Raw genomic sequence first — 25,841 nt, 5'->3', positions numbered from 1 at the left:
TTGGCCGCCCAAAGTGCTGAGATTCCAGGCGTGAGCCACCACACCCCCATCCTTCATGGGCACTACAGGGCAGCAAGCACATGGGCACTCGAGGGTGCAGGGCCTGTCCAGCACCACCCTGACTCACTCTCTCCTGTCCCTGTGCTCTGGCAGGACACCCTGAAAGTGCCTGCACATCTCCACTGCTGCCGCTGTGCCCAGGCTGGGGCCCCGCAGACCCTGGCGCTGCCTGGTGGCTGAGTGACCGCACCACCTGCCCACGCCGTCGGCCCAGCCCTGCCTGCCTGGCCGCCCCCCACCTTGAGCAGCTTCTCCTTCCTGCGCCGCCACTCCTCCCACTCGTTGGCGATCCGGCCCCACAGGATCCACGTGTCCTCCTCCAGGTGGCTCAGGTTGGAGGAGGCCGAGGAGCTGGACACTAGCGAGGAGCCACTGTTCCGCCGCGAGCCATTCATGGAGCGCATGGACTTGGAGTCGGCCTCCAGGAGCCTGGGCAGGAAGGGCCGACAGAGGGGAACCAGTGACTCCCTGGGGACAGGGATCCTTGGCGAGCCCAGCCCATCCTCCCCCTCCTGGGGGTCTTAGAGGACACCAGGGATTAGGTCCCTCTTGTTCTTTTTTTTTTCTTCTTCTTTGAGATGGAGTCTTGCTCTGTCGCCCAGGCTGGAGTGCAGTGGTGTGATCTCAGCTCACTGCAACCTCTGCCTCCTGGTTCAAGCAATTCTCCTGCTTCAGCCTCCTGAGTAGCTGGGATTACAGGTGCATGCCACCACACCTGGCTAACTTTATATTTGTAGTAAATATGGGGTTTCACCATGTTGGTCGGGCTGGTCTCGAACTCCTGACCTCAGGTGATCCACCTGCCTCAGCCTCCTAAACTGCTGGGATTACAGGCTTGAGCCACTGCCCTCAGCGCCCCCTTTTTTTTGAGACGGAGTTTTGCTCTTGTTGCCCAGACTGGAGTGCAGTGGCGTGATCTTGGCTCACTGCAGCGTCCGCCTCCCGGGTTCAAGTGATTCTCCTGCCTCAGGCTCCCAAGTAGCTGAGATTACAGGCACCCACCACCATGCCCAGCTAATTTTTGTGTTTTTAGTAGAGACAGGATTTCACCATGTTGGCCAGGCTGGTCTCAAACACCTGACCTCAAGTGATCCGTCTGCCTCGGCCTCCCAAAGTGTTCGGTGGTGTGAGCCACCACGTCCAGCCTAAAACCTGCATTTTAAATGGGGGTAGGGTCAGAGGAAGAAAGCAGGAAGGCCCGAATCGACTCTTCCTCCAGTCCTGGCTCCATTAACCGCGGCGGATTCACAGATTCACTTGACCTCTCAAACCTTCAGTCTCATCTGAACAGGGTGGGGACACATATATTCAGCCAGGGTTGGGAGGATGAAAGGAGGTGTCTGTCCCTCATCCAGCATCTGGAGGTGGCTGTCACATTGCACACACTGGGCCTGGCTCTGAATGTGAGGGCACCTGGGAACTCCTGTGGGGGCCCAGACTGCACCCCAAGATTTCACCCCATCCCCCAGCCCCCAACTCACCGGTTCTGCTCTTCGAGCTTGGCCAGCAGCTCCAGCTCATCGGGGCTGAGGTTCTCGGAGTCAGAGGTTGGGGAGCAGGTGGGGGCCGACAGGGCCTCCTGGGATGAGGAGTCGGGGCTCAGAGTGGGGCTCGCCATGGTGGGTGGGCTTGTTAGCCGTGAGCGGGGTTGGTTCACAGCTCTGTCTGGGGGCCAGAGACATGCGTGGTCGGCATTGGGTGGGAGCCCACTCCATCCTGCCTGCCCACCCTCGGGACATTTCCTCACCCTGGGCTTCCTGCCTCTGGTCCACCCCCGTCCGTGCACCCCTCATCCCCATGCGCCCCAGCCCAGCTGACAGCCATGCTGCCCCTTCTGTTCGAGACCCTGGCGATTGGGATCCCTGCCTGTGTCATCAGGCCGGATGTCTGGATGGAGATGGGAGGACTGTTGCCAGGATGTGAGCCGTCCTGCTGTCCCTGGGCATGAAGGCCAAGGCTCAACTCGACACCCCTGAGGCTGGAGCAGGGCCCGGAGCAGAGGCTCCCTGTCACTCGGGGCTCCATGGACCCTGCTGGGACCTCGGGGTGCAGGAGCCCCCTGCTTTTCTGGCCCTTCCTAATAGCTTTGTCCCCGTCCCCGCCACGGCCTGCCCTGGGAGCCCCATATCAGTGTCTGACTTCCCCATCTCATCAACCAAAGTGGGCTGCTGGCACGGCCAAGAGCAATTACTTTCGACTGTTAATTGTCTGGCGCTGCCAATGGCCAGAAGAGTCGACTCCCCTTGGGTTGAGAAGCCAGGGACGTGGCAGAGTGCTGGGAATCTGTGCCCTGGCAGACACAGAGCCAGAGCTGTGGGCTCCGATCCGTATCCAGATCTTGGCCTGCCACGTGCCAGGTGAGTCCCAGGCACATCTCTCCTATCTTTTTGCCGTGTCATCTGGCCCGACCCTTCTGGGGGCTTCAAGGACACTGGCCTCTCGCCTTCTGCCACCCTGGTGGAGGCAGATCAATGCCATGTCAAAAACAAAGGTACTGGGCTCAAATGGATCTGCGTCTGAAGCATGGCTCCCCTCAACCAGCTGTGTGACCTTGGGCCAGTCACTTGGTGTCTCTGAGCCTCCGTACACTGAGATCATACAGGACCTAGCCTCAAGGGTGGCTGTGGAAACTGAGCACATGACTGCACATAACCTGGTCAGAACAGAGCCTGACACTCAGTGATGGCCCCACGGACATCGGCTATCACTGTCCATCCTGGAGCCAGGGCTCCTGGGTTCTGCTGTGGCCTGTGTGGGGACTGATGGCCAGGGGACCCCTAGCAGGGGGCCCTAGAGGAAAGGGACGGCTATGGGAGTGGAGGCAGCGGCTGGGGATGGTGTTCCTTCATGCTTCTTCCTGGTGAGCCCAGGCTCACCTCCAGCGTCTGAGAAGATGGGGATACCTAGGGTCCTGATGGCAGGAAGGAAACCCTGCCTCCTGCCTCCTTATTTGCACGGCTCCTCATGCCCGCCCACTGCCCGGCACGCTCTGTAGCAGGAGTCTGCCGTGTGCCACTTGACCCCACCTGACCTGGCTGACAGCTCCACCTACAGAGAGGGCCTCGCTGGGTCCTTGGAGTGGGGATATCTGGATCCCCAGGCAGCAGGGGGACATTGGCGGGACCATAGCAGACCACTCTATACCTGCCTGACTACCGTTGGGTCACTGGGCACCTTCCCACAGCCCAAACTCAGCCCCCAACCAACCCCTGAGGGCCTACAGGTTGGATGGACTTGACCCTGGCCACCCCAGTCCTCCTGGAATAGGGTTGGGGGAGGTGCGCCATTCTTTTTTCACTGTATGGGGACCCAGAACCCTCTTTCTCCAGGCCTCTGTGGCTCCCCAAGGCTACTGGTTCTACCTTGGGCCCTCAAGCGTTCCCCTAGTCTGCCGGGTGCTGAGGGTTTTGGATTTTGGGGAGTGGAAGGAACTCTCATTGCCAAGTGGGCCAGGGCCACCTGCCCTAAAGACCAAGCTGCTGGGCACCACCTAATCAGGAGTTAATCATTCCCGAGGCAGGGACAGTGGGGGCCACTTTGGGGCCTCCCACAGAGTCAAAGTCTGCCCGGACAGAGACGGGGGCTGTGGACAAGAAGTGCTGATCAGAAGGACCTCTCTGGGCAGGGAGGGGCTGGGAGGGTAGCTTCAGAGCTGGGAGAATGGGGAGGAGGTGGTGGAGGTGAGGCTGGAGCCTCAGAACCACAGATGGAGTTGGGGAGCAGTGAGAGCTTCAGAACCAAAGAAACCCAAGCTCAGGGCATCAGCCCCACCCAATCTCTGCCCGAGCCTCGGTTTCTTTTCTTTCTTTCTTTTTTTTTTTTTTTTTTTGAGACGGAGTCTCGCTCTGTTGCCCAGGCTGGAGTGCAATGGCGTAATCTTGGCTCACTGCAACCTCTACCTCCCGGGTTCACGCGATTCTCCTGCTTGATTACAGGTGCGTGCCACCACGCCCAGCTAATTTTTGTATTTTTAGTAGAGACGGGGTTTCACCATGTTGGTCAGGCTGGTCTCGAACTCCTGACCTCGGAATCCATCTGCCTCGGCCTCCCAAAGTGCTGGGATTACAGATGTGAGCCACCGCGCCCAGCCGAGCCTCAGTTTCTGATTTTAAAAATCCCCCAAACCCGGGAGCCGTCCACCAGCAGAGGTTGTTCAGCTATTTATCACGAATGTGTGTGTATTTCATACAGGAAGTGAAATGTATTAAATACACAGGGCTGAAACTTGCAGTCTGAGAGGCAGGAACCTTCTGATCCCACCGGAACTTTCTCTCCACTCATCCCCAGACTCTCTCAGTGGAAACCATCCTCCTGAAGCGTGTGTGCACGCACAACACACATGCACTCTCACACTCTTCACAGCCACCCCACTCCCTCACGCATGTACACACATTCACACCCACCCCCACTCACATACAAACTCTCACACATACACATGCAAACACTTGGATACACACACCCATGCCTATTCTCACACACACACACTCATACACCTATACACACACATGCACACACTCGACACACACCCTCATGCCTATTCACACACACCTATACACACACACTTGACACACACCCATGCCTATTCTCACACTCACATACCTATACACACATGCACACACTCGACACACCCATGCCTATTCTCACACACACTCATACACCTATACACATGCACACTTGACACACCCATGCCTATTCTCACACACACTCACACACCCATACACACACACTCTCGACACACCCATGCCTATTCTCACACTCACACACCTATGCACACACTCGACACACCCATGCCTATTCTCACACTCACACACCTATACACACACATGCACACTCAACACACCCATGCCTATTCTCTCACACACATGCACACATGACACACACACCCATGCCTATTCTCACACACACCTATACACACATGCACACACTCGACACACACCCATGCTTATTCTCACACACACACCCCTATACACACACATGCACATACTCAACACACACACCCATGCCTATTCGCTCACACACCTATACACACACATGCACATGACACACACACCCATGCCTATTCTCACACACTCACACACCTATACACACACATGCACATACTCGACACACAGCCATGCCTATTCTCTCACACACACGCTCACACACCTATACACACATGCACACACTCAACACACGTGCTCATCCATAGTCACACGTTTACACATATGCACACATTCGGATACACGCACACCCGGTACCTTCACACACACATGCACACACTCAATACACACATACCCATGCACATTCACACATACACATGGACACACTCAGATACACACACCTATATACCTTCACACACACATGTGCACACTCGATATACACATGCTTATGCATATTTGTGCACGCACACTCATATACACACACACCCAGTACCTTCACACACATGCACACAATACACACATACTCGTGCACATCCACACACTTGATACACAATTTGCACACACATCCATGCACACACTTGATACATAAACACCCACATTCACATATTTTCACACACGCACACACTTGATACACACCCATGCACATTCACACATGCTTGATACATGCACACACACAATTCACACACATACACACACTTGATACACCCCAATTCACAGACATGCACACACTTGATACACACACTTTCACACATCCCCACACACATGCACACACTTGATACACACACATTCACACATTCTCACAGACATGCACACACATGCACACACTTGATACACACACACTCACATTCTCACAGACATGCACACACATGCACGCACTTGATACACATTCACACACACATGCACACACTTGATACATACATTCATACATTCTCACACACGCACACACTGGATACATACCCATGCACATTCATACACATGTACACATGCACACACTTGATGCACACACACCTATGCATATTCACACACACACATATACATGCACACACAACACACACACCCATGCACATTCACACACACAGTACACACCTCATACACATGCACATGACATACATTCACACACTCAGGCATACACACATACTCTTTCACACTTCTCAACACAAAACATACCCATTGACACACACTCTTGCACCCGCACTCAGGCACACACACATTCATTCCCACCCATCTACACACACGCGCTCACACACTTCCTGCACCGAGCAGCGCTCACCCCCTGGGAACAGAGCAGGTTTGGGGTGGAGGTGGGCTGCTGTCCTGATTCTGTGGGCGACCCTGCACCCCTCCCACTGTGCCATGACCCTCACTGGCTCAATCACTCCTTCCTGGTGCTGACTGAGGGCCACCTGAGGGCCGGCCACTGTCTAGGCAGGAGACATGGTAGGGAGCGAGGCAGGGGAGGCCCCATCTCCATCTCCCTATGCTGGATGGGCACAGGCCTTGGCAACCCACCCACTGGCCTCTGGGTCTGGGGTCCCAGCCTCTCCGTGTCCTTAATTTCAATGCTTCACCCTCAACTGCTCCTCAGCCATCTGAAGGGGGGTCCTGGACCCTGCCCCTGCCAGCACCCACTCAAGCCACACCTCCACAGGGCCACCTACAGCTTAGGAAGCTGAGCCAGGCCAGAGCACTGGAAAGGGGCTGTGTTTGGGGGTTGTGGGGGGCGTGGGGACGGAAAGTGCTGGAATGCTGGTCATCTTCGACTTCCGTTTGGCTTTCCCTCTCGGGGGCACTGCCGCGCATGCTTCCTCCTTCCCTAAGCCCCCTCCCACCTGGCTGATGAGGACTGGGCTCCTGGCTTCCTTCCTGCCTCTCTGGCCGGGACTTCTCATTCTCCCACGTGGCATCTCTTCCTCCCTGGGTCCCTCCTTGGCCTTGATCTTGATGCCCTTGGGGATCTCATTCTTGGGGCTTAAATGACCAAATGTATGTCACCAGCTTTTCGTTTCTCTCAAGAACTGGCCAAAGTTGCCCAAGTTGCCAGAACAGCTCCATCAGCCCCCAGCCCACCCACCATTCCATGTTCTGTGTTTCCCCCGCAGAGGCAGGAATCACCTGTGCCCTCTTGGAGTGTCCGGGGCAGAGACCAAGAAACAATCACCCAGACCCTCCTTCACAGATTGAGATAAATGCTTGCAGTAAACAATACGGTAGGATGGAGAACAGTCAGGCGGTTCCTCAAAGACTTAAACACACTGTCACCACGCCACCTGGCAAATCCACTCGTAGGGCTCAACGCAAGAGAACGGCAAACATCTGTTCACAGCAGCATTGTTCACAACAGCCAAAAAGCAGAAACAATCCACATGTCCATCAACGGGTGAATGGATCAACAAAACATGGTCCACCCAGACAGTGGAATATTACTTAGCCATGAAAAGGAGTGAAGCACCGAGACAGGCCACAGCATGGATGAACCTTGAAAACAAGGTGCTCAGTGAGAGATGCCAGACACCAAAGGCCACACACTGTGTGACTCCCTTTATACGGAATGTCCAGAATAGGCAATCCATAGAGACAGAAAGTGGATTTGTGGTCACCAGGGGCCAGGGGGAGGGAGGAATGGGGAGAAACTGCTTATGGGTGTAGGTTTCTTTTTGGGGTGATAGAAATGTTCCAGAATTAGATAGTGGTGATGGTTGCACAACACAGTTGGAATAAATGCCACCAAACTGTAAGCTTTAATTGGGGTGATTCTTTTTTTTTGAGATGGAGTTTTGCTCTTGTTGCCCAGGCTGGAGTGCAATGGCATGATCTTGGCTCACAGCAACCTCCACCTCCCGGGTTCAAGCAATTCTCCTGCCTCAGCCTCCCGAGTAGCTGGGATTATAGGCATGTGCCGCCATGCCTGGCTAATTTTGTATTTTTAGTAGAGACAGGGTTTCGCCATGTTGGCCAGGCTCGTCTTGAACTCCTGACCTCAAGTGATTCACTCGTCTGGGTCTCTCAAAGTGCTGGGATTACAGGCGTGAGCCACTGCCCGTGGCCTAGGTTTGCATTTTAGAAAGACCCTTCTGGCCCCTCATGCGGAGATGCTCTTCAAATTCAATGCTTTCCTGACAGAAGCAGGCCCCTTGTCCTACTGCGGGTGCATCTATCTGGGTCCCCGGTGCCACCTGCCACCTCCACCCACCCACTCTGGCCAGGCCTGGGTGTTCCCCTCCTCCCTTCTCATGTTCTAGAGCTCAGCCAAGTCTACCACCCACATCCCACACCTCACTCCCAACTGGCCTCTGCTCTCCAGGCTGGAAGCTGCTGTCTTTTTGTTGTTGTTGTTGCTTTTAGAGACAAGGTCTTGCTCTGTTTCCCAGGCTGGAGTGCAGTGGTGCGAGATCCTGGCCTCAAGTGATCCTCCCACCTCAGCCTCCTGAGTATCTGGGACCACAGATATTCGCCACCATGCCTTGCCAATTTTTCTAATTTTGGAGACTTGGGGTCTCACTATGTTGCCCAGGCTGCTCTTGAACTCCTGGCTTCAAGTGATGCTCCTGCCTCAGCCTCCCAGAGTGCTGGGATCACAGGTGTGAGCCACCGTGCCCCACCAAAGCTGCTGTCTTGATGGCGCCTGCCACGTCCATTGAACTTTCTGTCCTTTCTGATGCTCTGTCCATGGGGCCACCAGAACCATACAGAACTGCAGCTCTTGCCACGTCATTGCCTGCCTAAGACCCTTTAGCAGCTCCCAATGGTGAGATGGAGCCCAGATGTCTTTGCAAGACGTGCATGCCCTTCCCAGCCTCGCCTCTTTCTGCATCCCTGCTTGGCACACTCAGTCCTCCAGGCACATGGGTCTCCTGATGTCTGCCAGTGTCTGTGCATACTCTGTTCCCTCTGACTGGAAGGGCATTCTCCAAGACCCGGTTTGGATTTTTTTTTTTTAGATGGATGGAGTCTTGCTCTGTCGCCCAGGCTGGAGTGCAGTGGCGCGATCTCGGCTCACTGCAAGCTCCGCCTCCTGGGTTCACGCCATTCTCCTGCCTCAGCCTCCTGAGTAGCTGGGACTACAGGCACCCACCGCCACGCCTGGCTAATTTTTTGTATTTTTTAGTAGAGATGGGGTTTCACTGTGTTACCCAGGATGGTCTTGATCTCCTGACCTTGTGATCTGCCCGCATTGGCCTCCCAAAGTTCTGAGATTACAGGCGTGAGCCACCGTGCCTGGCCAAGGATTTTTTTTTTTTTCTTTTTAGAGACAGGGTTTTGCTCTGTCTCCCAGGCTGGAGTGCACTGGTATGATCATAGCTCACTGTTCACTGCAGACTTGACCTCCTGGGTTCAAGTAATCTTCCCGCCTCGGCTCCTCAAAGTGCTGGGACTGTGCCTGGCCGGTTTGGCCATTCTTTCTGTGAAAACTTCTCTGTCAACCTCCCTTCTTCCAGCATCCTGGCTCGCTTTTCCCCCTCTCTCTCCCTGAAAACATCCACCCCTCTGCCTACACCCAAGCCCAATGCACATTCTATGGCAATTATTTCTAAACCTGCCTGCCTGCCTGCCCTAGGGTCATGCACGATTTGAGGACAAGAGCCTCTCTTCTTAATTCTCTATTCCAAGCCCCTAATGCACTATCTGGCATTCAGTACATGCTCGACAAACGTTTGTTGAATAAATGAAGATGAAACTTTCCATGTCGCTTAGGCAGGTGATCAAGGTCAACATCAACAGTGATAAGTTACGTGGCTAACACGTACCCTTGATAGGATGTGACAGAAAGGACCCTTCACCCCTGTGGTCTTCCTCCCCAAGACCCCAGTCTAACCATGAGAAACACCAGAGTGGCTGGGCATGGTGGCTGACACCTGTAATCCCAGCACTTTGGGAGGCCAAGGCCGGCGGATCACTTGAGGTCAGGAGTTTGAGACCAGCCTGGCCAACATGATGAAACCCTGTCTCTACTAAAGATACAAAAAAATTTGCTGGGCGTGGTGGCACATGCCTGTAATCTGAGCTACTCAGGAGGCTGAGGCAGGGGAATGGCATGAACCCAGGAGGCGGAAGTTGCAGTGAGCCGAGATTGCACGACTGCACTCCAGCCTGGGTGACAGAGCGAGACTCCGTCTCAAAAAACAAAACAAAACAAAACAAAAAAAAACCAACCAAAAAAAAAATAAACACACCAGACAGATCAGTATTAGAGGACATTCTACACAACACCTACTCCACCTTCCTCAAAACCGTCAAGGTTGGCCGGGCATGGGGGCTCACACCTGTAATCCCAGCACTTCGGGAGGCTGAGGCAGGCAGATCGCCTGAGGTCAGGGGTTCGAGACCAGCCTAACCAACATGGAGAAACCCTGTCTCTACTAAAAATACAAAATTAGCCGGGCGTGGTGGCACATGCCTGCAATCCCAGCTACTTGGGAGGCTGAGGCAGGAGAATCGCTTGAACCCAGGAGGCAGAGGTTGTGGTGAGCCGAGACTGCACCACAATTGCACTCCACCCTGGGCAACAAGAGCGAAACTCCATCTCAAAAAACAAAAAACAAAAACCAAACCAAACCAAACAAACAAAAACGTCAAGGTCACGAAAAGCAAGGAAAGTCTGAGAAACTGTCACAGCCCAGAGGAGGTTAGGGAGACATGACGACTAAATGTCATGTGGGATCCTGGGATGGAAGAAGGTTACTGGGAAAAAACAAAGGAAATCTGAATGAAAGGTGGACTTTAGTTAATAATAATATATCAATACTGGCCCATTAACTACAACAAATGTATCATATGAATGGAAGACATTAACTATAGAGGAGACTGGGTATGGGGCATATGGAAACTCTGTATCGTCTTCTCAATTGTTCCATAAATCTCAAAGTGTTCTACAAAATAGTCTTATTTTATTTTATTTATTTTTTATTTTTTGAGAAGGAGTTTCACTCCTGTTGCCCAGGCTGGAGTGCAGTGGTGTGATCTCGGCTCACTGCAACCTCCACCTCCCAGGTTCAAGTGATTCTCCTGCCTCAGCCTCCCAAGTAGCTGGGATTACAGGTGCGCACCACCACGCCCGGCTAATTTCTGTATTTTTAGTAGAGATGGGGTTTCACCATGTTGGCCAGGCTGGTTTTGAACTCCTGACCTCAGGTGATCCGCCCGCCTCAGCCTCCCAAAGTGCTGGGATTACAGGCGTGAGCCACCACAACTGGCCATTTTATTTTATTTTTGAGACAGGGGTCTCACTCTGCTGCCCAGGCTGGTCTTGAACTCCTGGCCACAGGGGATCCTCCTGCCTCAGCCCAAGTCTATTTTAAAAATAATAATAAAGGCTGGGTGCGGTGGCTCATGTCTGTAATCCCAGCACTGTGGGAGGCTGAGGGGGGGCAGATCACTTGAGGTCAGGAGTTCGAGACCAGCCTGGCCAACATGGTGAAACCCTGTCTCTATTAAAAATACACACACACATACAAAATTAGCTAGGTGTAGTGGCGCATGGCTATAATCCCAGCTACTCCTGAGGCTGAACCCAGGAGGCAGAGGTTGCGGTGAGCTGAAATTACGCCACTGCACTCCAGCCTGGATGACAGAGTGAGAGACTCCGTCTAAAAAAAAAAATGAAAAAAATAAAAATAGAAATTTCTGTACAGTGTAAGCAGAAAAGCCAACGACGGCTTTAACACACAAGTGCCATATGGCACAGAGAGTCCCTTGACTAGGCTGAGGAGGAAGAAGGATTTGAACTTGGATTTCTGACTGTATAGCCTTTGCCCTAAATCCACCCGCTGTGCTGCAGCTCTGTCTGTATTCTTTTACTTTGGGAATGATACACGTATGTGAAACCCCAAGTGCAGGGGTTACTCAGTGAAAACAGTCATTATTTTTCAACGGTGAGAGAGGGCGAGCACATATGATGCATCTTTCAGTCTGTGGCATTTTCAGAGACAGCAATGAAGACCCCGAGTTTCCTTTCCATGTTGTTTCCCTTACTCCCCTACCCCCCATTTCCTTCTTTTTTTCTTTTCTGAGACAGAGTCTTGCTCTGTAGCCCAGGCTGGAGTGCAGTTGCACGATCTTGGCTCACTGCAACCTCCGCCTCCTGGGTTCAAGCACTTCTCCTCCCTCAGCCTCCCGAGTAGCTGGGATTACAGGTGCGTGCCACCATATCTGGCTAATTTTTGTATTTTTAGTAGAGACAGGGTATCGCCATGTTGGCCAGGTTGGTCTTGAACTCCTAACCTCAGGTGATCCTCCCGCCTCGGCCTCCCAAAGTACCGAGATCACAGGTGTGAGCCACCACGCCCGGCCCTACCCCCCATTTCTGATTCCTCCATGTCTAATGATTACCAGGGACACAGACTCATTTCGGAATCTAAAGCCCAAGATGCCATGTGACCCCGATTTGTCTAGCCTGACAGACTGCTGCTGTCTTGGCTGGCTCTGACCTCTGGGGAAATGGCCCAACCTAGCACCTTAGGTCCTCTCGTCCTTGGCAAGGTGTGGGCGGACAACTGACAGGTGAGCTGCCCCTTGGATAACAAGAACAGCGGCTTGAATTCAGAGGTCCCTGCCTGATCTCTTCTTGCGCCCAGTCTAGCTGCTCCTCCACATGGTTCTGGAAGTTTCCATATCCCTGGCCTTGGAATGTAGGTTGTTATCCCAGATCTCTTGGCTCCAGGTGAGAACTTCAGAGCTTGCAGCCTGGGTTCAAATCCTTCCTCTACCTCTTTCTTTTCTTTTTATTCTTTTTTCTTTGAAACCGAGTCTACCTCTGTCACCCAGGCTGGAGTGCAGTGGCACGATCTTGGCTCACTGCAGCCTTTGCCTCCTGGGTTCAAGCAATTCTCCTGCCTCAGCCTCCTGAGTAGCTGGGATTACAGATGCCCGCCATTATACCTCGCTAATTTTTGTATTTTTAGTAGAGACGGGGTTTCACTGTGTTAACCAAGCTGGTCTCGAACTCCTGACCTCAGGTGATGCACCCGCCTCAGCCTCCCAAAGTACTGGGATTACAGGTGTGAGCCACCGCTCCTGGCCTCCTCTACCACTTTCTATCTTTGTAACCTTGGGTATGATGTATTTTGCCTCAATTTTTTTTGTTTATTTTTATTTTTATTTTATTTTTAGAGACAGGGTCTTGTTTTGTCACCCAGGCTGCAGTATAGTGGTACAATCATAGCCAACTGCAGGCTCCAACTCCTGAGCTCAAGTGATTCTCCTGCCTCAGCCTCCCAAGTAGCTGGGACTACAGACACTTGCCACTATGTCCAGCTAATTTTGTTATTATTATTATTATTATTGCAGAGAGAGAGTCTCACTATGTTGCCCAGGTTGGTCTCAAACTCCTGGCCTCAAGTTATCTCCCTGACTCGGCCTCTCAAAGTGCTGGGATTATAGGCGTGAGCCACTGCACCTGGCCTGCCTCAGTTTCATTATCTGAAAACAGGGCTAATGACAGTATCTACCCCACAGTTTTTGTTGGAAGGAATCAATGAGCTTAAACCTGTCATGTGCTTAGGACAAGCCTGACCTGTGATATTTATTCCCTTCTGGATGAAAAGTTCTACTAGGGCAGGGGCTGGGGCTGTCTAGCCCACTATTGGATCTTCAGAGTCTAGTAGGCATCCCATATTTGTGGGATAAATAAACTTCCCCTCTTCAACAGGCCCTCCCTTTCTGTGGTGATCCTGTTTAAAGAGTAAACACAGTAAAACTAGAATAATCTTTATTGATAACAATAGCAGCAACAGCAGCACACACCTTTGGCTAAAATCTGAGAAGTGAACCATTCTGACCTGCAGAATCCTTTCTGACCTAAAAAAAAATTTTCTTTCTTGTCATCTGACCAGATTACTTTTGGCTATTATAATAGGTTCCCTTCTGGCAAAACCCTCATTTTTCTTTTTTTAAAAATTTTTAAAATTTGTATTTATTTCTTTGAGATGGAGTCTCGCTCTGTTGCCCAGGCTGGCATGCAGTGGCGCGTTCTTGGCTCACTGCAAGCTCTGCCTCCCAGGTTCAAGTGAGCTGGGGCTACAGGTGTGCACCACCATACCCTGCTAATTTTTTTGTATTTTTAATAGAGACGGGGTTTCACCATGTTGGCCAGGCTGGTCTCGAACTCCTGACCTCAGGTGATCCACCCGCCTCGGCCTCCCAAAGTGCCGGGATTACAGGCGTGAGCCACCGTGCCGGGCCTCAGATTTCAATCAAACACTCTCACAAGCATATCGTGGCATGCTGAGAAATGAATGAAAGTGCAGGTGAGTCATGCCAATGAGGCCTTCCAAATCTCCCTCAAAAGGGTAAGTCTCTTCCCTAACCCTGATGAATTGAGTTAGTTCTCCCTGACCCTGATGAGCTGAGTTAGTTCTCCTAAACTCACCTCCTTCCTTCTATTGCCCGGGCTGCTAGCATGTGTGTGCTGCAGTCTTCCCTGGGAAGGGCGGCTTTGCTGCCTTTCCAAGTTCTCCCAACTAGGGATCCCCTTTGCTGGGGAGCCCCCCACCATGTGTGCCAAGTGTACAGATGGCACTGGGGACACAAGGGCTTGTAGTAAGACGCCTATCAAAGGAAGTACAGGGACACGCCTCCCTGAGCGCACCACGCTTGCTCCTGCCTCTTGGGCGTGTGTCCAAGCACTTCTGCTGCCTGGAACACCCTTCCCTGCCACGCCTGCCTGTGACCTGGTCCATACGTCATCCCTGCTGTGCCTTCCCCAACACCCCAGGGATGCATCAGGCTTTTTTTCCGGGCTCCCATTGCAGCCTGCTGTACATAATTCTGTCTCATGCTCCCCGCAGCAGGCCTCAGGCCAGGATGGCAAGGGCGCGTGCTGCAATCCTGGTTCCTCCGAGTTTTGGGGAGGATTAAATGAGATAATATGTCAATGGTGCTTGGCATGGTGCTGAGCACATGGCGGGGGCCGCCGCATGCCAGTGAGAGGACTTTAGACGCAGAGCAGGGACCACATTGTACACATCTTACATTCCTTCACACCCCAACATCTGACTCCAGGCCCAGGGCTTCCCTGTAACAACTGGCATCTCTATTCTGCAAGAGGAAATTGAAATATACATTCCTCCTCATCCGTCTGCCCCCTCAAAGCTCAAACAAAGATGCAGCTCCACGAGCCCAGTCTCGGGTAAAACTGCGTTCGTATCACTGACAAGTCCTCCTCGTGGTTTCCTATAGAGTTCACAGTCATCCTGGGAAGCCTTCATACCCCACTGTCTCTGCACAAAATTCCACCCTGGGGAGGCTGTAGAGTTTAGTTTCCTGTGCGTGAGAGATACCACGTGACCTTCAGGAGTCTTTTCCTCCACGCCTTCCTTCAGCAAGTGGACAGAACAAACCTCTTCCTACCCGGTGTCAGAGGTCTATGTGGGGCATCAGAGATCTATGTGGGGCCTCAGCATGGCTATCCGACAGCCCCTCATGCCCACCCTGTTCCCCGTGGTCCTCCTGGGAAGACCCTGTGTATAACCACAAGTCCTGCAGCAGACCATCTCTCATCTCCATTCTTCCAGCTCTGATTCGAGCTGGCTCCCTGCAATACAGCTCAGCCCTAGGAAGATGGCCACTTTTCAATGAAGTGTCAACTAAGACCCTCGCAGGGACCTGGGTGGCCAGTGATTCACAGGAGCCCATAGGACTCCCCTCCGAGACCTTGCTGTCCCCTTCCACACGGCACTGGGGGAACACACAGGGCCACACCCTAGCCTTCCTGCAGTTCCAAGTTCTGTTCTAAAAATTTAGCCGCTCTCCCCGCACCCCAGTTTCCGATGGGGAAGTTGAGGTACTGAGCCGCAATGAGCTTTTTCCTGGATGGTCCACAATCCGCTAGTGAATATCCACAAGGAAGCCTGGGCCTTTTATCTCAGGGTTTCTGAGCACAGTTATGTTGTCAGAAGGACCCCAGACGCACAGTGCCCAGGCTGCGCGGGACTGGACCGGCCCGGCTCCTCGCCCCCTGCAGTCCTGGCCACAGTGTCGCGCCAGCATCTCCTCTCCTGTCTTGTCTCATCCCTGTGCCAGGGCCAAGCCACCTGCGATCCCTTCCAAACCACCCTCCGCTGACCACAGAAGCCCAGAGGAACCTACAGGTTGGACCCTGAGGCCAGAGCTGGGAGTGGGGAGGGCGGCGGGATGGATGGGAAGAGCCACAAAAGACGGAAAGACACAGGGACACGGGTCCTCTAGCTCAATCACATCCCGGCCGAGGGGGAATAAAACGAAGCAGACAACTCATTCATGTTCCACTCGAGCCTCTTCAGCACATTTTTCCCTTCTGAAAATATTCCTTAACAAAGAGCTGCCTGCTTCTGGCAGGCCCCGACCCAGGTCTCAAATGCCAAGATAGAAGGAAGCTGTTTTGTTTTGGCCAAACACACTAGTTGTGGGTGAAAGAACTCTCGGGCTGTCAGGGGCCAGCTCTGAGGAGCAACCTGGACCGCCCTGCTGGCTCTGGCATTTGAGGCCAGTAGGCGTGATGGGGTCAGGAGGCTGGGGGCAGACTTCAGGACGGAAGCCAGGAGCTGTGAATCCTCTCCCTTCCCGCCAGGGGGTGGCATAAATCAGGGGGCGGGCAGTGGTTCCTTCGGGACACTAGTGTAGGAGAGAAAGTGAGCGTCCTTCCCTTTGAAAGGGCACAGCAGGGAAGGATGGATAACTTGGCAGAGGCCTGGGGCAGGTTCCCACAGGGGTAGGTGCTGGGGGATTCTGGGGCCCTGTCACCCTCCAAGGCTCCAGTGTGGGCGCTGGTTTGGTGGAGGGGCAAGTTGGCTTCCTGGGGTGCGGCAGGCACCTCATGGTCTCTGGAATCTCTGCTTGAGCTGGGGGAGCTGTCGGGGACTCTGGGAGGGCCTGGACAGGTGGGATCTGAGGAGGGGTGCAGAAGTGTTGAGTGGGTGGGGGCAGGGGCAGATATGCCTGGGGTCTATGTTGGAGCTCTTAAGTTTTTCTGTGTGTGCTGGGGGATCTAAGTGACTGTGTGTGTGTGTGTGTGTGTGTGTGTGTGTGTGTGTGTGTGTGTGTTTGGGGTTTTCAGAAAGATGGGTGGCTCTGGATGGGGAGTGGGGTGGTTCAGAATATCCAACGGGAGGTCTTGAGCATGGGTGGATTTTTCAGGATCCAGGAGCCAGGATCCAGATGGGGCAGGATCAGTGGAGCTACCACAGTGTGCTGGGTGGACGCCGGGGAGTGGTGTTTAGGGGTGCCCTTGGGCATGTGGCAGCTGGGGTGGGAGATGGGCTAGCAGGCTGAGCTGAGGGCTGTGGGCAGGGGTAGGAAATCCGACTTACAGAGGCCAGAGAGGGGTCCTGTGGGGTCAGCATGGGGGGCGGGTAGGCCCTGAGGCTGGTCTCCTTGGGGAGAGGTGGGGGCAGTTCTGGGCCCAAGATAGGAGGACGTGAAGTGAGGGGGTGCGGGGAGGGGGTGGCAAGTGTTGTCCAGAAGGGAGGGGTCCTGAGAGATCAGGGCAGAAGGTGGACGGGGGTTCTTGGGCTTGGGGGGCGCTTCTGAGGGGCTGATCGGCGGAGTGGGGGGATGGGGAGCCCTGAGGGGGTTCCCGGAGAGGAGTCCTGAGGGTCACTGCAAAGGGTGGACGGGGGTCCTGGGCCTGCGGGGTCCTCATGGGGAGGGGACGGAGTGGGGGAGGGGGATCCTGCAGGAGCTCCTGGGGAGGGGTCCGGAGGGATCGGCAACGAGGGTGGGCAGGGGCCAGGGTCCTCCGAAGGTCCCGGGCTGGGGATGCCGAGGCTCCCAGCGCGGGTTCCGGGGCACGACGGCCCGAGTTGCGGTCCTGCCGGTTCCCCGCGGGCCGCATCACGGAGCCGCCGGCCTGAGCAGGCGCCCGGGAGGCCCGGCCCGCGCCGCCCTACCTGCGCCGAGCGCGCCGCCATCTCCGTGCCGAGCCTCGCCGCCCCGGGCTGAGCCGCCGGATCCTAGCCGCGCCGTTCGCCCCGCAGCCCCGGCCCGGCCCCCTCAGCCGCCCCCCGGGACCGCGGCCGCCGCCGGCTCCGCCGCTGCCATTTCACCCGCTGACAGGAGCCGCTGCCCCGCCCCCGAGGCCCCATCCGCCAATTCGCCGCCCCCAGGCGCCCTGGCCCCGCCCACCAGCCAGGAGTGACGGGGTGTCTGACCATTCCGTGGCCATTCCGTGAGGCGGGCCCTGGCTACGTTCAGAAGGTTGCCGCCTCTGAGGAGAGAGCGAATTGAAATGAGGGAAGCGGTGAAGGACAGGTAGTTTTGCGTATCGGAATGAGGAATCCTATTGATCAACACCTGATAAGACCAATAGCAAGGAAAGTGGGGGTGTGTCCGTGAGGAAAGGCTGCGGCCCTGAGGAACACCAGGCAGACGCGGCCAAGCGTTTGGCACTAAGCCCCGCCCAGAGCCGGGCTTTCTGCCCAATAACGAGACGCCCCGAGACGTCCATTATTATCTGCCCCTCAAACCTGGGCCCTGGCAACTGCTGGGGGCGCCATAAAGAAGATTGACACCTAGGGAACCAATGCTACTGAAGGAGGGCGGGAAAGTGACACTCTCTGACCAATGGGTATGTGAGATTGGTGGGAGCATTGGCGTCCTGGGCGGTGGGGCTTGAGGCCTGGGTTGAATGAAATGGGGGTGGGGCTAAGAGGAGGGCGTGGCCTAGGCCAGAGATGGGGCGGGGTCAAGCAAGGGAGGGGCTCGGGGGTTGGGTCTGAGAAGGGGCGTGGCCAGAAATCCTGAAGACTCACTGGGGACGTGATGGCACCGTGTCGTCTAGGAGCCCAGTTCTGTGCTGGGGACGGGGCGGTTGATATTGGGGGCGGGTCCCATAAAAGATTCAGGCCCGTCCCCTGTCTTACTCCAGGCCAGGTTAAATGTGTTCTCTAAAGCTCACAGAGCCGCGTGTTTCTCCATCAAAGCTCGGTTCGCGCCGTGATCGTGGGGAGGGATAGGCCCTCCCATTCCCCATCCTCCCAGGCTGATAGATCCTCGGGGAGTCGGGATGCAGGGCCTAGGTCGGGTCTCTTCCAGGTCCCCAGCATGGAAACTGCTTATAAACATTTGATGAATGAATGAATGAAAATGGGCCCGTGACTCTTTTAACAGAGAAGGGAGAGGTGGAGAATCCTTCAAGCTAGAGAGGAATTCGTAGGGACAGTTACTGACAGCGGGCAAGACTGACCAAAATGGACTTATTTCCTCCCCAAGATGTAGGGATGGGCCCTGGAGGGGGTGGGGCAGGGAAGGACCTTGTCATAGCAGAGAGGGTGACGTCATAAGTGTGTTTTTATTTATTTATTTTTCAGAGACAGGGTCTCGCTCTGTGTCCCAGTTTGCAGTGCAGTGATGCGAACATAGCTCAATGCAGCCTCGAACTCTTGGACTCCAATGATCCTCCCGCCTCAACCTCCCCAGTAGCTGGGACTACAGGTGCGTGCACACCATGCCCGGCTAATTTTTTTGGTAGAGGCTGGGGTCTTGGTATGTTGCTCAGGCTAGTCGGAAACTCCTGGTGCCAGGTTCTCCCACTTCAGCCTCCCAAAGTGCTGGGATTACAGGCATGAGCCACCTCGCCCAGCTAGATGTCCTAAGTTCAGAATGGGGAAGGGAAGGCTGGACCCAGGGAGGGGCACGTCAGGACTTCCTAAGGTCTGAGAGCTCAACCTTCTCTGTAGTAGGAGACTCTGTGTGGCCTTGCAAGCAGTGACTGACATCCACGTATGGTCCCGGCCTCTGTCCAGCTCTCTCTGCCTCTCCCTCCCTCTTCCTGTCTATTTTGCATCTGCCAACGTTCTGGAACTGTTAATAAACCTCCCCAGGGTCCGGGCGCGGTGGCTCACGCCTGTAATCCCAGCACTTTGGGAGGCCGAGGCGGGCAGATCACGAGGTCAAGAGATCCAGACCATCCTGGCCAACATGGTGAAACCCCGTCTCTACTAAAAATACAAAAATTAGCTGGGCATGGAGGCGGGTGCCTGTAGTCCCAGCTACTTGGGAGGCTGAGGCAGCAGAATCGCTTGAACCTGGAGGCGGAGGTTAAAATGAGCTGAGATCGCTCCACTCTACTCCAGCCTGGCGACAGAGCGAGGCTCCGTCTCAAAAAAAACAAAAACAAAAACAAAAATTAGCCAAGTGTGGTGGCGCACGCCTATAATCCCAGCTACTCAGGAGGCTGAAGCTCGGGAATCACTTGAACCCGGGAGGCAGAGGTTGCGGTAAGCAGAGATCATACCACTGCGCTCCTGCCTGGGTGACGGCGCGAGACTCTGCAAGCAAGAAAGGAAGGAAGGAAAGAAAAGAAAGAAAGGGAAAGAAAAGAAAAGTCCTGGGGTCTCTGGTCCTAGAATACTAGCAGGAATGTGGGAGACAGAGTGGTCTGCGGAGGTTCAGGCCAAGGTGGGGTCCAGAACCTCCCTAGGAAGAGGTCGTGACCAGTTATTTTTCTGGGACCATGCCTAGGAGACACTCAACAGCTGGTGTCTGGGGGATAAAACCAAGCCTAAGGCAAATGAACAGAACATTTGACCCCCTCTTTGCACTACCATTTTCACACAAAAAATGGTTTCATTCCCAGGACACTTTGATTCCATTTTTATAAGCGCAGTGGGAAAAAAATAAATCCAACACATTTCTGTTGGAAAAGACTTTTCCATCAAACACCGCATTAAGCCAGTCAAATTCCTGGATCCCTTTTCTATACAGTGCAGTGAAACTGTTTCCAAAGTTTTTTTTTGATAGAATTCATTTTTATCAGGAACATTTTTCGGGGTGTTCCTTACAGTAAACATTTGATGCACAAATCAGGCTGTTTTCATACAGTTTTTATGAACTGTTGATTTTACCATTGTGAAGTTTTCTTAGGATGAGTGTCATTTCTTTGGAATCAAACTTTGCGCATGGAAGTTTATTAAAAGACTCTTCTGCCAGGGTTTAGCCAGATTAATAACAAATTTTATGATCATTTTTTTTTCTGAGTTAAACTTTTTTTTTTTTTTTGAGATGGAGTTTCATTATTGTTGCCCAGGCTGGAGTGCAATGGTGCATCTTGGCTCACTGCAACTTCCGCCTCCCGGGTTCAAGCGATTCTCCTGTCTCACCCTCCAGAGTAGCTGGGATTATAGGCGCATGCCACCACACCTGGCTAATTTTTGTATTTTTAGTAGAGATGGGGTTTCATCACATTGGTCAGGCTGGTCTTGAACTCCCGACCTCAGGTGATCCACCCACCTCAGCATCCCAAAGTGCTGGGATTACAGGCGTGAGCCACTGCTCCTGGCTAACTTTTTTTTTTTTTTCTTTTTGAGATGGAATCTGCTGTGCAGGCTGGAGTGCAGTGTCGTGATCTCAGCTCTCTGCAACCTCCTCCTCCTGGGTTCAAGCGACTCTCCTGCCTCAGCCTCCCGACTAGCTGGGATTACAGGCGTGAGCCACTACGCCCGGCCCTGGCTTATTTCACTGAGCATATTGTCTTCAAGTTTCATCCATGTTGTAGCACATGTCAGAATTTCCCTCCTTCTTAGTTTGTTTTCGTTTTTGAGACGGAGTCTCGCTCTGTCACCCATGCTGGGTGCAGTGGCATGATCTCGGTTCACTGCAAGCTCTGCCTGCCGTGTTCACTCCATTCTCCTGCCTCACCCTCCGGAGTAGCTGGGACTACAGGCGCCCGCCACCACGCCTAGCTAATTTTTTTTTATTTTTAGTAGAGACGGAGTTTCACCGTGTTAGCCAGGATGGTCTCGATCTCCTGACCTTGTGGTCCGCCCGTCTCGGCCTCCCAAAGTGCTGGGATTACAGGCATGAGCCACCACGCCTGGCCAGAATTTCCCTCCTTCTTATAGCTGAATAATATTCTATCATATGTATAAACCACGTTTGGTTCATTCATTCATCTGTAGATGGATAAGTGGAGTAGTTTCCACCATTCGTTATTGTGAACAATGCCTCTATGAACCTGGGCACACACAGATATCTGTTTGCATTTCTGTTTTCAGTTCTTTTGGGTAGATATCTAAAGTGGAATTGCTGGATCATATGATAATTCTATGTTTAGCTTTTTGGTTTTTTTTTGAGACGAAGTCTCGTTCTTGTCCCCCAGGCTGGAGTGTGATGGCACAATCTCAGCTCACTGCAACCTCTGCCTCCTGGGTTCAAGCGATTCTCCTGCCTCGGCCCCCTGAGTAGCTGGGATTACAGGCACCTGTCATCATGCCCGGCTAATTTTTGTATTTTTAGTAGAGACGGGGTTTCACCATGTTGGCCAGGCTGGTCTAGAACTCCTGACCTCGGGTGATCCACTGCCTGTCCTCCCAAAGTGCTGGGATTACAGGTATGAGCCACCATGCCTGGCCCTATGTTTAGCTTTTTGAGGAACCACCAGCCTGTTTTCTGCAGTAGCCACACCATTTTACATTCCTACCGATTAACGGGAGTTCCAGTTTCTTCACATCTTCTCCAAGACTTTTTTTTTTCTCGAAAAAAAAGTGTCTCGTTTTGTCACCCAGGCTGGAGTGCAGTGGTGCTATTACAGCTCACTGCAGCCTCGATCTCCCAGGCTCAGGAGATCCTCCTGCCTCAGCCTCCTGAGTAGCTGGGATTACAGGCGCCCACCAACACACCCAGCTAATTTTTTTTTTTTTTTTTTTGTGAGACAGAGTCTTGTTCTGTCACCAGGCTGGAGTGCAGTGACATGATCTCCACTCATTGCAACCTCCGCCTCCCGGGTTCAAGTGATTCTCCTGCCTCAGCCTCCCGAGTATTTGGGACTACAGGTGTGCGCCACCACCACGCCCAGCTAATTTCTGTATTTTTAGTAGAGATGGGGTTTCACCATGTTGGCCAGGATGGTCTCGATCTCTTGAACGCGTGATCCACCTGCCTCGGCCTCCCAAAATGCTGGGATTACAGGCGTGAGCCACCGTGCCCAGCAAAATTTTTGTATTTTTAATAGAGACAGGGTTTCACCATGTTACCCAGGCTGGTCTCGAGCTCCTGACCTCAGGTGATCTGCCAGCCTCAGCCTCCCAAAGTGCTGGGATTACAAGCGGATTACACCATGCCCGGCCTGACTTTGTTTTTATTAAAGACTGTTTTGCTTTTTATTTTTCTTTCTTTTTTGAGACGGAGTTTCGCTCTTGTTGCCCAGGCTGGAGTGCAATGGCACGATCTCGGCTCACTGCAACCTCTCCTCCTGGGTCCTGCCTCAGCCTTCTGAGTAGCTGGGATTACAGGCGCCTGCCACCACGCCCAGCTAATTTTGTATTTTTAGTAGGACGGGGTTTCTCCATGTTGGTCAGGCTAGTCTCGAACTCCTGATCTCAGGTGATCTGCCTGCCTCAGCCTCCCAAAGTGCTGGGATTACAGGGGTAAGCCTTCGCACCTGGTCCCCATATACAGTCCTTACTATGTTGAAGTAGTCTTCTGAATGTGCACGTGTGGTCTCAGCTACTCAGGAGGCTGAGGTGGGAGGATTGCATGAGCCCAGGAGTTTGAGGCTCTGGCAAGCCATGATCATGCTACTGCACTCCAGCCTGGGTGAGTGAGACTCTGTCTAATAAAAAAAAAAAAAAAGAGAAAGGCCGGACGTGGTGGCTCATGCCTATAATTCCAGCACTTTGGGAGGCTGAGATGGGCGGATCATGAGATCAGGAGATGGAGACCATCCTGGCTAACACGGTGAAACCCCATCTCTACTAAAAATACAAAAAATTAGCTGTGTGTGGTGGCACACGCCTGTAATCCAAAGAAAAAAAAAGTCTCCTTTTTTTTTTTGTAATTTTATTTTTAATTTATTTTTTGAGACAGAGTCTCACTCTGTTTCCCAGGCTGGAGTGTAGTGAGGCGATCTTGGCTCACTGCAACCCCCACCTCCCAGGTTCAAGCAATTCTCCTGCCTCAGCCTCTTGAGTAGCTTGGATTACAGGCATGTGCCACCATGCCTGGCTAAGTTTTGTATTTTTAGTAGAGACGAGGTTTCACCATGTTGTTGAGGCTGGTCTCAAACTCCTGACATCAAGTGATCTGCCTGCCTCAGCCTCCCAAAGTTTTGAGATAACAGGCGTGAGCCATCACTCCTGTCCTTTATTTTATTTTTAGAGATGGGGGTCTTGCTGTGTTGCCCAGTCTGGTCTGGAACTCCTGGGTTCAGGCAATCATCCTGCACGTGGCTCCCAAAGTGCTGGGATTACAGGCTTGAGTCACCGCGCTCAGCCTTTGCTACGGTTTTGTTGAGGATTTTTGCATCAATATTCATCAGGGATATTGATCTGTAGGGGTTTTTTTTTGTGTGTGTGTGTCTGTATCTGGCTTTGGTAACAGGATAATGCTGGCCTCGTAGGATGAGTTTGGAAGTGTTCCTTCTCTTCAATTTTTTGGAAGAGTTTGAGAAGGATTAGTGTTAATTCTTTAAATGTTTGGTAGAATTCACCATCTGGTCGTGGGCTTTTCTTTGTTGGAAGGCTTTCTTTTTTTTTTTTTTCTCAGATGGAGTTTCACTCTTGTTGCCCAGGCTGGAGTGCAGTGGTGCGATCTTGGCTCTCTGCAGCCTCTGCCTCCGGGGTTCAAGTGATTCTCCTGCCTCAGCCTCAGTGCTGTTTTTGCTGCATCTCATAAGTTTTGGTGTGTTGTCTTTTCTCCCTTTTCCTCCCCTCCCCTCCCTCCTCCGCTCCCCTCCCTCCTCCCCTCCCCTCCCTCCTCCCCTCCCCTCCCCTTCCTTTCCCTTTTCTCCCTCCCCTCCCCCTCCCCCTCCATCCCCTCCCCTCCCTCCCCCCTCCCCCCTCCATCCCCCTCCCCTCCCTCCACCCCTCCCCCTCCATCCCCCTCCCCTCCCCTTCCTTTCCCTTTTTTCTCTTTCTCTCTCTCTCTTTCTCTTTTTCTCTCTCTTTCTCTGCCTCCCTCTTTCTCTCTTTCCCTCCCTTCCTTCCTTCCTTCTTTCCTTTCTTTTTTTTTGAGACAGAGCCTTGCTCTGTTACCTAGCCTGGAATGCATGATGCAATCATGGCTCACTGCAGCCTTGTCCTCCTGGGCTCAAGCAGTCCTCTCACTTCAGCCTCCCGAGTAGCTGGGACCATAGGTGTGCACCATCATGCCTCGCTAATTTAAATATATATATTAAATTTAATATATATATAAATATAATATATTTAAATTAATATATATTAAATTTAATATATATTAAATTTAAATATATATTTAAATTATATATATATTTAAATTATATATATATATTTAAATTTATATATAAATCCCGGCCACATGAAATATCTTTTTCATCATTTCACTTTCAATCTGTTTGTATCTTTGCATCTAAAGTGAGTCTCTTGTAGACAAGACATAGATCATGTTTAGGCTGGGCGTGGTGGCTCATGCCTGTAATCCCAGCACTTTGGGAGGCCGAGGCAGGCGGATCACCTGAGGTCAGGAGTTCGAGACCACCCTGACCAACATGATGAAACCCCGCCTCTACTAAAAATATAAAAACTTAGCTGGGCATGGTGGTGGGTGCCTGTAATCCCAGGTACTCGGGAGGCTGAGGCAGGAGAATCTCTTGAACCCAGGAGTCAGAGGTTACAGTGAACCGAGATCGCTCCATTGCACTGCAGCCTGGGCAATAAGAGTGAAACTCCCTCTCGAAAAAAAAAAAAAAAAAAAGACATAGATCATGTTTTAAAAAATTATTCTGCCAATCTAGGCCGCGCGCAGTGGCTCATTCCTGTAATCCCAGCACTTTGGGAGGCCGAGGTGGGTGGATCACGAGGTCAAGAGATCGTGACCATCCTGGCCAACATGGTGAAACCCCGTCTCTACTAAAAGTACAAAAAATTATCCAGGCATGGTGGCAGGTGCCTGTAATCCCAGCTACTTGTGAGGCTGAGGCAGGAGAATCGCTTGAAT

The 25,841-nt window shown here is 52.8% G+C and overlaps 1 protein-coding gene across 2 annotated transcripts in view, besides 2 other annotated features; it reads right to left on the bottom strand.

Annotated features, from left to right (window-relative positions):
- Positions 1 to 18,003, bottom strand: part of EVI5L (ecotropic viral integration site 5 like) — a 34,759-nt gene extending 16,756 nt beyond the window's left edge. For both annotated transcript variants that reach the window (NM_001159944.3, NM_145245.5), the window contains exons 1-3: positions 17,840 to 18,003; positions 1,542 to 1,725; positions 300 to 489 (exon numbers count right to left, since the gene is read on the bottom strand). In NM_001159944.3, the coding sequence (NP_001153416.1) occupies positions 300 to 489; positions 1,542 to 1,678 (327 nt within the window). In that variant the 5' untranslated portion in view covers positions 1,679 to 1,725; positions 17,840 to 18,003. The remainder of the gene's footprint in view (positions 1 to 299; positions 490 to 1,541; positions 1,726 to 17,839) is intronic.
- Positions 251 to 752: an enhancer, noted in NCBI's record as "H3K27ac-H3K4me1 hESC enhancer chr19:7912355-7912856 (GRCh37/hg19 assembly coordinates)". NCBI's record gives its function as "activates a minimal SCP1, AML or CMV promoter by ChIP-STARR-seq in primed H9 embryonic stem cells {active_cell/tissue: H9 hESC(primed)}" and the evidence as "EXISTENCE:reporter gene assay evidence [ECO:0000049][PMID:30033119]".
- Positions 17,907 to 18,146: a silencer, noted in NCBI's record as "silent region_9991". NCBI's record gives its function as "represses an Ori minimal core promoter by ATAC-STARR-seq in GM12878 lymphoblastoid cells {active_cell/tissue: GM12878}" and the evidence as "EXISTENCE:reporter gene assay evidence [ECO:0000049][PMID:35858748]".

The sequence above is a fragment of the Homo sapiens genome, chromosome 19 (assembly GCF_000001405.40).
Source record: "Homo sapiens chromosome 19, GRCh38.p14 Primary Assembly".
In the NCBI taxonomy this organism is placed as follows: Eukaryota; Metazoa; Chordata; class Mammalia; order Primates; family Hominidae; genus Homo; species Homo sapiens.
This window is presented reverse-complemented; position numbering and strand designations above follow the sequence as displayed.